Genomic DNA, 12,395 nt, shown 5'->3' on the forward strand with positions numbered 1-12,395 from the left:
GCCTTCTGAACCTAGTCTTACTGTCTAGAGCACTCACCTGGCAATATGATAATTATCTTTCCACAGACATCTCATCCTTATAAAATAGACTATAAGCCTCTTAGGGGCTGCTCTCTGATGCGAGGGTAGAAAAGAGTTTAGTGATCTGTTTATTATGCTTTCTATGTATGTATAAATTATTTTATTTTATAAACCGTAACTTCCAAAAGACAACTGTCAGTCAACTAAAATGTAAATACATAGATGTATATGCATACACTACACACACACATTGAAAGCTAAAAACTTTTAACCAAGTATCCTTGATTTTTTTGAGTCCTTGATTAATGAAATATCCTATACCTGCTGAATTCAACTTAATAGTTCATCTATGCAAAAATAATTGGTTGATGCTTTCTCTAAATGTTCTGCAAAGAGCTATGACACCAGAGGTCTCAGATTCTTTACCTGAGGATAAAAGGATCCTCAGGGAGTCTATAATTTTACTACCATATAAGACGAAAAAAAAACTTGCATTAACAAGTAATGACATTCTTTAAAATTAATAAATATTTTATCAGTGTTCAATACAACATTTAATCCTAAAGAAATTGTACTACTTCCCTGTTTTAAAAAATTATATACAATATACATTTAGAATCTTAAAATCTCCTCCTTATAGATACCTTCTTTCTATACCTATTGAAGGCCAATTGATAAATCATTCAAGAATCTTCTGTTATCCTTTTAAATAAAAAAAATCAGCACAATAAATCAACATTTCAGACAAAAGAAAATAAGCACATTATTCATATTTTATATGGTTTTAATAATAATTACACATTTTTATCCCCCAAAGAAAAATTATGAAGCTGGAAGTATCAGATATAGTAAAAATTCAAGTTTTTTTTTAATTTGTGTGAATTATAATGACATAATGCTGGAAGAAACCACACTTTACTTTCTGTTTAGAGGGGTTGCCCTGACTTCCATGTATGAATGATCAAGAGAATGAATTACAGTCTTCTTAAAACCTTAATGATAACTATGGTTAATTCAAGCTACAATAGGTTAATTACTAGTATCAAGAGACATGCAGTAACTTCTACTAGAATAAACTCTGACCTTTAAATAAGTCAGAGACTCTTACTACTAATAAGTACCTAATTAAACATTAGGTTCCTTATTTATAAAGTGAAGGGTTTGTATAAAATCTCTGCTGTACTTAAGAATAGAAGCCTTTGGCTACATTAGAGAATACTCAACTCCATTCACCCGGAAAAATGACATAGAAGAATATACCATATCAAATGAAAACTTTATCCTGGCTGAAATTAAACTCTCTGGAATATATTAAACACATTTGAACATCCTTACGGAAAAGGTGAGGAAACACTTGAACAGTCCAAATTATCCACTTAAAAACGAAAAAACAACAATATCCAAAAATCCCATCATTCAAGCATTATCTGAGGAAAATTATCCAAACAGGTCTTAACAATAACCTGATAACTACAAAAATATTCATGATTTATAAAGTTAATATTAAAAAATAAGAACTACAAGATAATCCAAGGTGCTTATGTGAATGTGCTTCTGCCTTAGGTAAAGCTTACTAAGGAATATTTGTCAACAGCAGGCAGCTTGGAGATCTTCAAGCTTTACATCATCAAATTCCAAGATGGTTTTACTGCCAAACTGCCCTCTTTATAGCTCTTGAGTATTCCTTATAATGGGGAAGGAATGCTCAGCAACCATAATCTTCCTCCCACTCCTATCAGTAACTGGTACAGTGATACTTGGTCACCTTCTTCTCTAATCCAAATACTCACAATACTTCAGGGAAATAAAGCTCAGCTTCTCATTAGAAAAAATGTTGAGAATAACTGACAGAGTTATAATAAAGATCTCACCTATGTATACTAAAAATTCTTTTAGGGAAGATTATATAGGGAGATGCATGCTTGAAAAGAAAATGGGAGCAGAAGGATAGCATCTAGGCTGCCATCCCATCTTAGTATAATTGCTCATTCAATATTAATTCAATATGTATTTACCAAGGGTCTTCCATGTGCCAGGTATTTTGCCAGGTACTACAAAAAAAATGAGCAGAAAACAGTTCCTACTTTATTTATTTTTTTATTTTTGTTAATTTTTAAAATTTTTATTATACTTTAAGTTCTGAGGTACATGTGCAGAACGTGCAGTTTTGTTACATAGTTATATACATGCTACGATGGTTTGCTGCACCTATCAACTCGTCACCTACATTAGGTATTTCTCCTAATACTATCCCTCCCCTAGCCCCCCACCCCCCGACAGGCCCTGGTGTGTGATGCTCCCCTCCCTATGTCCATGTGTTCTCATTGTTCAACTTCCACTTATGAGTGAGAACATGTGGTGTTTGGTTTTCTGTTCTTAGGATAGTTTGCTGAGAATGGTTTCCAGCTTCATCCATGTCCCTGCAAAGGACATGAACCCAACCTTTTTTAAGGCTGCATAGTATTCCATGGTGTCTATGTGCCACATTTTCTTTATCCAGTCTATTATTGATGGACATCTGGGTGGGTTCCAATTCTTTGCTATTGTGAGTAGTGTCGCAGTAAACATACGTGTGCATGTGTCTTTACAGCAGAATGATTTATAATCCTTTGGGTACATACTCAGTAACAGGATTGCTAGGTCAAATGGTATTTCTAGTTCTAGATCCTTGAGGAATTGCCACTCTGTCTTCCACAATGGTTGAACTAATTCACCCTCCCACCAACAATGTAAAAGCATTCCTATTTCTCCGCATCCTCTCCAGCATTCTGTTGTTTCTTGACTTTTTAATGACTGCCATTCTAACTGGTGTGAGATGGTTATTTCACTGTGGTTTTGATTTGCATTTCTCTAATGACCAGTGATGATGAGCATTTTTTTCATATGCATGTTGGCTGCATAAATGTCTTCTTTTGAGAAGTGTCTGTTCATATCCTTTGCCCACTTTTTGATGGGGTTGTTTTTTTCTTGTAAATTTAACAGTTTCTATCTTTAAAAGCTCACAGTCAAGTGCAGAAATCGGGGGGGGGGAGAGGTGGGGGGGTATCAACACAGGGTATCTTTTTAAAATATGTCAATGAATATACAAACATACAGTCAATATAAAAAATCTAGAGAACTCAATGAAAACCACATGCAGCTTAAATTCTGTGAAACACGCCTAAATATTATGGACTTATGTGAAGAACATATATGCACCTATGTAAATAATAATAGCTGCCTTCTTTTTGAGACAGGGTCTCGCTCTGTTACCCAGGTTGGAGTACAAGTGGTGCAATCATGGCTCACCACAGCCTCAACCTCCCAGGCTCAAGCACTCCTCCCTCCTGCCTCAGCCTCTCAAGTAGATGGGATCACAGGTGCACACCACCAGGCCAGGCTAATTGTGTGTGTGTGTGTGTGCGCGCGCGCATGTGTGTGTGTGTTTTAGAGATGGGGGTCTCATTTTGTTGCCCAGGCTGGTTTTGAACTTCTAGCCTCAAGTGATCCTCTCACCTTGGTCTCCCAAAGTGCTGGGATTACAGGCATGAGCCATCATGCCTGGCAGCCCAACCTGCCATTTTTTTTAGTACTTTTTCGGCTAGGCAGAAGACCTTGCTTATCAGTTCATTTAATCCTCATAACAATCACATGAGGCAGCTACTACTCATACTTTTATCCCAGATTTACAGAGGATAAACTCAGCTCTGTAGTTAAATGATTTGTCCACAGCCACATTCCAATAGGTGGCTAAGCACAAACTCAGGTTGTTTGACGCTAGAACTTAATGCTACTTGTGACCAGTCAATCGCCATGCTACCTCATACAGACCCTCACTGCAGAATTACAGAGGAGAGGACACTATTTGTGCAATTAAAGACCTCTCGGCCAAGGACAGAGCACTGAGACTGTAAAGGACTAGGAGACACTGATCACTATGGGGAGGGGATATCCCTGCATGCAGGACAACAGGACCCAGGCTAGATACGGGTAAATGCAGATTTCCTCTGCTACTGACACTGTTTAGATACCGTGAGACATTCTGAGTATGAAGTTGAAGCTAGTAGCAAACTACTCAAAGATTAAATACAAAGTGACATAAACATTCCTTTTAAAAAAAAATTACTCTGGTGGCAATATGGAACTAGCTAGAGAAGAATTTAACTGAAAGCAAGGAAATAAAGAGATGTCTACACTTGATTAGTTATTTCCTAACAGCTATGATGATGATGACAGTGATGATGATGGTGATAACAGAAGCTCCAATTTTAACATGAGGGATATGGACCACATTTCCCAGGATAAGTTTTGGCCAAAGGAAACGTAGTTGATTTTGGCCTTTAAACGGAAGAGGGTCCGGGCGTGGTTGCTCACGCCTGTAATCCCAACACTTTGGGAAGCCGAGGCTGGCAGATGGTTTGAGGTCAGGAGTTCGAGACCAGCCTGGCCACCACAGTAAAACCCCGTCTCTACCGAAAATATAATACAAAAATTAGCCAAGTGTAGTGGCACATGCCTTTAATCCCAGCTACTTAGAAGGCTGAGGCAGGAGAATCGCTTGAACCTGGGAGGATGAAGTTGCAATGGGCCGAGATCGTGCCACTGCACTCCAGCCTGGGTGACAGTGAGACTCCATCTCAAAAATAAATTAAATTAAATTAAATTACATTAAATTAAATTAAAAAGGGAAGGGGGCTATCTCTTCTTCCCTACTTCCTCCATCCTCCTACTTGGAATATAGATGGGATGGAGCTGAGATGCTAAGTACAAAGCTAGAAGCAGCCTGGTCCAGATGGCTATACAAACCCGAAACTGTCTACACCCAGACTTTAACTTTTAAAGAAATAAGTTTCTATATTGTTTGAGACACTTAAGTCCCTATTACTGGAAGCCAAACCTCTATCCTAACAGAGTGCACTTTATAGTAATCCGAGTAAGAACTGATAAGGGCCTAAACTATGGCAGTGACTGTGAAAACAGAGGAAAAAAAAGATGTGAGAAAATTTTGAGGGAAAAAAAAACAACACTTTGAAGTGAAGGTGAGAGAGAAAGGAGTGTGGCAAGTTTCTGACTTGAGCGAATGGCCAAGGGGAAGAGGTTTGAATGAGCCAGATATGCTTGAACATGCTGCATTTTCTTTTCTTTCTTTTTTTTTGAGACAGGGTCTTACTCCTACTTGGAATATAGATGGGATGGAGCTGAGTGGCTAAGTACAAAGCTAGAAGCAGCCTGGTCCAGATGGCTATACAAACCCGAAACTGTCTACACCCAGACTTTATTCTTCTACAACCAAATTCCTCAAACACACAATCTGAACAGTAGCAGTGAAAGGGAGTTTAAGGTGGGGGTGAGGGAGAAGGGAGTAATATGGTTTTTTAGTAATATAGTAATTTACATTTTCAAAAATCTTCAGTGTTTCACTATCTTAAATGAATATTTATTCTGTTGTTCCTCTCATTTCTTTCCTCCTGTTAAAAAAATGACTTTTATTAACTCCAATCTCATGTGGATTTGGGTTTACTCACGCTAAGATTTGGTAAAACATCTGTCTCCAAAGAAAAACAAGTAACATTCTTTTCAAATTCCCTAGAAGACCGCGTAGGACAAGTATATGAAGCATTTATAAAATTCACTCCAGTCCCAACTGCTACTTTCCACTGTGAATTAATTTTCATACTATTATTGTCCAAGTTTGTTCTGACACTTGATTTCTCTCTGTAAATGTTACTAGAATTAACTTAAGCTAGGAAAAACAAAGGACATAGTTTTACCTACAAGCAGATGTCATTAACTATACAGATTTTTTTTTCCACTTAAAAACTTGCCACAAAACCACTTATTTTCTTTAAACAAGAATCTTCCATTTTAAGTTCTTAAACCTATATTTTAAATTACTATAAGGACAGAATGTTTGCTTGAAGAAAAAAAATAGAGAGATGTCAAGTTCCCAAACAATTTGTTTTCTTCAAATCATGGTATTAGTGAACCTTGTAAATTATTAATACAGTACACAAAAAGCTACAATGGATCAACGAAAAAGATGACATTTATAGAATGGTGTCATCAGTGGAAAATAGCCCTTTCCAGAAACAACACAAATTCTTTCTCCTAACTCAGTCTGTTAGGAAAATCACCAAAAGCCCTTCAACTGTCTACTCAATAAACAATCAGTAAATAATTGTTTACTTCCCAGTGTGTAAAGCATTCTGCTAAAAAAGTAGTAGTCTCTCTGTTGAAAGGACATTTTTTCCAGTTTCAAAAGTTTCTCTACGGATAGCATACTGTGATATATTTGGGCCATGCTCTCAAGGAACTCTTTTTCAGTCTAAAAAAATTAGACAAATGTAAACGGAAAGACCTTGAAATTTTCAGAACTCCAATTCCTTGTTTCAAACATTTCTAGGACACAGTAAAGACCAAAGACAAGCAGCAAAATGTTTCAGAGATGTAATCTGAAGGTCTGATCTCTCTGAACCAGCCCCTTAGCATCTTCGTCTTCATGAAGCTATGCAGTTTCCTCTGTTGTTTCTTAAGCAATACCTCATTAAGTGATTTTTTTTTCCTAATTAAAATCTCCCTGAAGGAAGTAGGTATACTCCCATACTACTACTGAGAGTATAAACTGACACATCTTTCTGCAAGGCATTTTAGCAATATACCTCAAAACTATTCAAAATGTTCTTTTGGCTTTCAGAAACAGCTGGAACCAGAAGTTTAGATAATGTTTCCAGAGCTATGTCTGTCTTTTCATTTTTTGACTATCCTTGCCTCAGCTTGTGTTCAATACTCAGAGACTCTCTAAACACAGTAAGGAAAACACACACTGGCAGCCTCAACTTAATCACAGTATCTTACCTTAGTCATCCTAGTGGGAAAAGATAGGCGTGCCAGTTTGTTCCAAAAGAAAACACCCAAGCTCTAACCGGTCCAGCTTAAAGTAGAGGGTAGGGTAACTAGGACTGAAACTTTCCCTGGAACCGTAGAGAAAAGAAGGCATGGTTCCCAAAGGAAGGGATGCCAGGAAGAAAATTCACATATGTCCATATAAACATACATATCCTTGACCCGGCAGTTCCATTTCTATGATGAAAATGTGGCACTATTATTGTGTACCAGACACTGTTTTACTTTACATGAAATAACTCATTTAATCTTCACAACATCTCTATGAGGTAGATACTACTATTTACTATTATCCAATTTTATGAATGCAGAAACTGAGACAGAAAAATTAAGTAACTTGTCTAAAGCCAGAACTACTAGGAGGCAAAACCAAGAATCAAGCTCAGACTATGTGGCTCCATCCCACACTTTATCTATTTTTGTAGAAATGGGGTCCCACTCTGTCACCTAGGCTAGAGTACAGTAGTGCAATCATAGCTCACTGGAACCTCAAATTCCTGGTTTGAAATGATCCTCCCACCTCAGCCTCCCAACTTGCTGGGATTACAGGAGTGAGCCACCACATCTAGCTCATCCCACACTTCTAACTTTTCTACTACTAAAATTTACTGCCTCTCTATTTGATCCTGAGAAATTAAAAATCAATGCAAAAATCTGGCTAGAACAATTCATCACAGCACTATTTATAACAGCAAAAATTTGGAAATAACAAAATTATCTAACCATGAGATTAACTGATAAATTTATTTACTTTAAATTATATATTAAAATGATAAAAACATTTTGTAGTTAATAAAAATTGATGTTATGTTTTATATATACAAAGTTGTCCCTGGAATAACTCAAGGGTTAGATGCACCAACCCCTGTGCAGTCAAAAATCTACATATAACTTATGACTCCCCAAAAAACTTTACTACTAATAGCCTACTCTTGACCAGAAGCCTTACAGATAACATAAATGGTAGATTAATACATATTGTTAATGTTTATATGTATTATATAATGTATTCTACAATAAAGCAGACTAGAGAAAAGAAAATGTTATTAATAAAATCATAAGAAAACACAGTTACTATTAAGTGGAAGCAGATCATCACAAAGGTCTTCATCCTTATTGTCCTCATGTTGAGTAGGCTGAGGAGGAGGAAGAGGAAGGGTTATTCTTGCTGTCTCAAGGGTAGCAGAGGCAGAAAAAAATGTGTATAAGTGGACCAACGCAGTTCAAATCCATGTTGTTGAAGAGTCAACTGTATATAGAACATGGAAAGCTTCCAATAACATGCAGATAAGTTTTAAAAACACAGCTTATATAAATGGATAGATGCTATAAACATGTTTTTAAGAAGTAAAATGAGGACGGGCGCGGTGGCTCACGCCTGTAATCCCAGCACTTTGGGAGGCCGAGGTAGGCGGATCACAAGATCAGGAGATTGAGACCATTGTGGCTAACACGCTGAAACCCCGTCTCTACTAAAAAACGGAAAAAAGTTAGCCAAGCCTGGTGGCGGGGGCCTGTAGTCCCAGCTACTGGGGAGGCTGAGGCAGGAGAATGGCGTGAACCCGGGAGGCGGACCTTGCAGTGAGCCAAGATTGTGCCACTGCACTCCAGCCTGGGCGACAGAGCAAGACTCTGTCTCAAAAAAAAAAAAAAAAAAAAAAAAAAAGTAGTAAAATTAATTATACATATATACGTATATGGATGCACACAAAAATCTCTGGAAATACATATGTTAAAATGTCAGCAGTATGCCACTTCTTACCCACTGGAGTGGTTATGATCAAAAAGACAGAATAACAAGGGAGTAGCAATTGCAAAACCAAGGACAGCAATCTTGATTCTTTTTTTTTTTTTTTTTTGAAGTTAAGAATTCTTTTAGGTTGTAATATTTTCATGTTAGTTTTTAATCATTTACAATGTTCTGTGGGTCACATTTTAAACATTTTTAAATATATGAAATTCTGTATTTCTTTAAGTACAGCCACAACTACAAAGCAGAGAAACGTAAGAATACAAAAATCAAATCTGCTTCATTTATATACACGATGGGGCAGCCTAATGCACATCATAACATTAACTTTTCCAAAGAAGTTTGCTAAGAATCTGCTCCCATAATTAGTGTTAAAAATAAAGCAATCTTCCCATTTAGAAAAATCAAGACATCAGTTGATTAATAAAGCCTATTCTTCCTCCCAGCAATTTGTACTTTCTGGTCTTCATTTAGGAATTATAAATTCATGAGAAAAGAACAAATTTTTTATGGAATAAATAACTTCCAGGAACAACAGTTTATAAGTATTCAGTTGTTTAAATAAACAAAACTATTTTCCTTCCTAAAATGTAAACATCCAGTAAATGAAACATACATGATATTCCAGGTATAGAAATCTTAGTAACTCACTTATGAAAGAGGTGCATTTTGGTATGTTTGGTGGTAAGGTTTTTGTTTATCTTATGTATAAAAGTACTTGCACAAAAAAACAAGCAGTTATTACTATTTAAAATTCTATTCCTTCACCCAGTTTTCTCACTCAAGTAGAAACTCATGAATATCTGTGATTTTGGCTATAGGACCAGGCCACAGGAAAGGGCTGAAATATCTCTAAAAGTTAGGTAAAAGTGTTTTCTTGAGACTTGAAGGCAGTCATTCATCACTTTGTGCTTGAAGGCATTCCTCAGCAAACTTCTCTCGAGTCTTCAGAGTAAAGCACAGGATCTAGGCTCCCGGAAGGGGTTACTTCCAGCTGGAACACCCACCAGCAGGGCATCCTTGCAGGCATTCTGCATACAGTACTGTTGAAGCTCTGCAGCTGCCTGAGAGACCTTGATCCTCTCCACGCCAGCCTCCAACTTGAGCTGCTCTACCAAGAGCTGCAGGGCGCTCGCGCTAGCCCCGGAGGACATGGCGGCGGCGCTGGGCTCCTAGGGGCTGCAGCAATCTTGATTCTTTAGGAGAATGACAAGTCGTTCACTGTAACTAAGGCTTACTTACTTGCTAGTTACCAGTTACTCACACAATTTCCTTAAGTCTTGCAACAATTTCTTCAATAACTTCAAACCTCATGAGCCACAAGTACAAACAACCCTGGGCAAACACGGTGATTTCACCATACCATTTCTTTAAAATTATTCATTAAAAATAAAAAATACCAGGCCAGGCACACTGGCTTACGCCTGTAATCCCAGCACTACCAAAGTGCGAACTCACCAGTTCAAGACCAGCCAGGGCAACACGGCAAAACCCCGTCTCTACTAAAAATACAAAAATTAGCCAGGCATGGTGGCATGTGCCTGTAGTCCCAGCTACTTGGAAGGCTGAGATTGGCTTGAGCCTGGGAAGCAGAGGCTGCAGTGGGCTGTGATGATACCACTGCACTCCAGCCTGGGCAACAGAGCCAGACCTTGTCTTAAAATAATAATAATAATAATAACATGCCGGGCGCGGTGGCTCCCGCCTGTAATCCCAGCACTTTGGGAGGCCCAGGTGGACAGATCACCTGAGGTCAAGAGTTCGAGAGAGCCTGGCCAACATGGTAAAACCTCATCTCTACTAATAATACAAAAATTAGCCAGGCATGGTGGCACATGCCTGTAATCCTAGCTACTGTGGAGGCTGAGGCAGGACAATTACTTGAACCTGGGAGACAGAGGTTGCAGTGAGCCAAGATCGCGCCACTGCACTCCAGCCTGGGTGACAGAGTGAGACTCCGTCTCCGAAAAAAAAAATAAATAAATAAATAAATAAATGAATAAATAAATCCCTGGAGTGAGCCTTTTTGTAACATGTAAATAGAAGACCGTTTTTAGTTTTTGAATTATTTGATAACTAATTATTCTGTTTAATTATTAGTAGAAAGAACAGACCCATTGTACAAAAGGGAGTCAAATGAAAGGGATAGGACAAGCTTTCAGAAATCATTACTTCAACTTAATTGCACAAGTTAAATCAGCCCAGGATCTAGATGTTTTTGAACTCGAATTACTGTTTTTTAAAAAATTGCTTCAACATTCATGCTTACTAAGTAATAAAAATTGTATCATTATTTGTTCAGATTAAAATCAAACAGAAAAGACTACAATGAATCAATTAAAAATAAATATGAGCACATGCTTCTAAAGAACTTATTTTTCTTTTAGAAGAAACAGAAAATATAAAGCTTATTTAGCTGTGCTTTGATTTGTGTATGAATGTTATGACCATGTTTCTAGGTAACATCAAAGTTTTGTCAATGCTAGGACCATGGGTGGCAAACAGGTACAAAAACAAAGATGTCCCTTCCCACACTGCTGTATGTGTGTATCTCTTCTTCTTGTGCTAAATTATAATGTAGCAGACCAGTTAGTGCTGTAGTTTAAGGCCTTGGATAAGAAATGGAATATCTCCTGAAGCATAGCCCTGATATCAATCATACAGAAAAGAAACAGACATTTGGATGGAAAACTGGAACCAGGAAAATGGACCTCATTAGATAGACCTGACAGGAATAGGTTGTCTGTCTTGCCACCATCTAGGGCCTAGACTTAAGGAAACATGCTGAAAGGCAAGATGACCTTCATCATATGATGGCAGACCACAAACTAGGCAGGGTGGAATCCCTTTAGGAGACTACAGACTGAAAAGGAGGAAACTATACCTTGCAAACCAGACTACTGACTTAAAAGTTATTCTCTGGTTTCATTATCTTTTTATTTTTAACCTTTAGAAAAGTTTTATTTCACTGCTGCAGCTTTGCCTCAGCAAATAAAAGTATGAATGATTTGGCAGTGGGAGTTAGGCCAGAATGTTAAGAAAAAGTGGCACTCCATGAGATCACTGGAGAAATAGAAGAACTGGAGCTTTGAGTTCAAGCCAATCCTTCCCATACAGAGGCAGGCGCTCCTTCCGCTGTCAACCTTGGAGGACTAGGGTTTCATTTTATTAAGAGAATTTTAAAGTTTCTGTTCAGGTACCTAGAACTAAATTCATCGTGACAAAATCTGAAGAGATATGTACTACATTCAAGAGTCAGCAGGTTTCTGTAGTGTTTAAAATTACAGGGTTTTGTTTTATTAAGGGTTTCATTTTATTAAGAGAATTAGAAAGTTTCATTTTATTAAGAGAATTATAAAGTTTCAGCCAGAGTAGTCGCTCACGCCTATAATCCCATCACTTTGGGAGGCCGAGGCAGACGGATCACCTGAGGTCAGGAGTTCAAGACCAGCCTGGCCAACATAGTGAAACACTGTCTCTACTAATAATACAAAAATGAGCTGGGAGTGGTGGTGGGCACCTGTAATCCCAGCTACTCAGGAGGCTGAGGCAGGAGAATCGCTTGAACCTAGGAGGTGGAGATTGCAGTGAGCCGAGATTGTGCCACTGCACTCCAGCCTGGGTGACAGAGCAAGACTCCATCTCAAAAAAAAAAAAAAAAAAGAAAGAATTAGAAAGTTTCTGTTCAAGTACCTAGAAACAAATTCATTGTGATAAGATCTGTAGAGCTATGTACTACATT

At 37.8% G+C, this 12,395-nt stretch overlaps 1 protein-coding gene and 1 pseudogene across 11 annotated transcripts in view; both read right to left on the bottom strand.

Moving 5' to 3' along the window:
- Positions 1-12,395, bottom strand: part of SBF2 (SET binding factor 2) — a 526,174-nt gene that overhangs the window by 483,785 nt on the left and 29,994 nt on the right. The gene's annotated exons all lie outside the window — the stretch shown is intronic.
- On the bottom strand, positions 8,759-9,836 carry LOC653503 (G protein subunit gamma 10 pseudogene; annotated as a pseudogene).

The sequence above is a fragment of the Homo sapiens genome, chromosome 11 (genome assembly GCF_000001405.40).
Source record: "Homo sapiens chromosome 11, GRCh38.p14 Primary Assembly".
In the NCBI taxonomy this organism is placed as follows: Eukaryota; Metazoa; Chordata; class Mammalia; order Primates; family Hominidae; genus Homo; species Homo sapiens.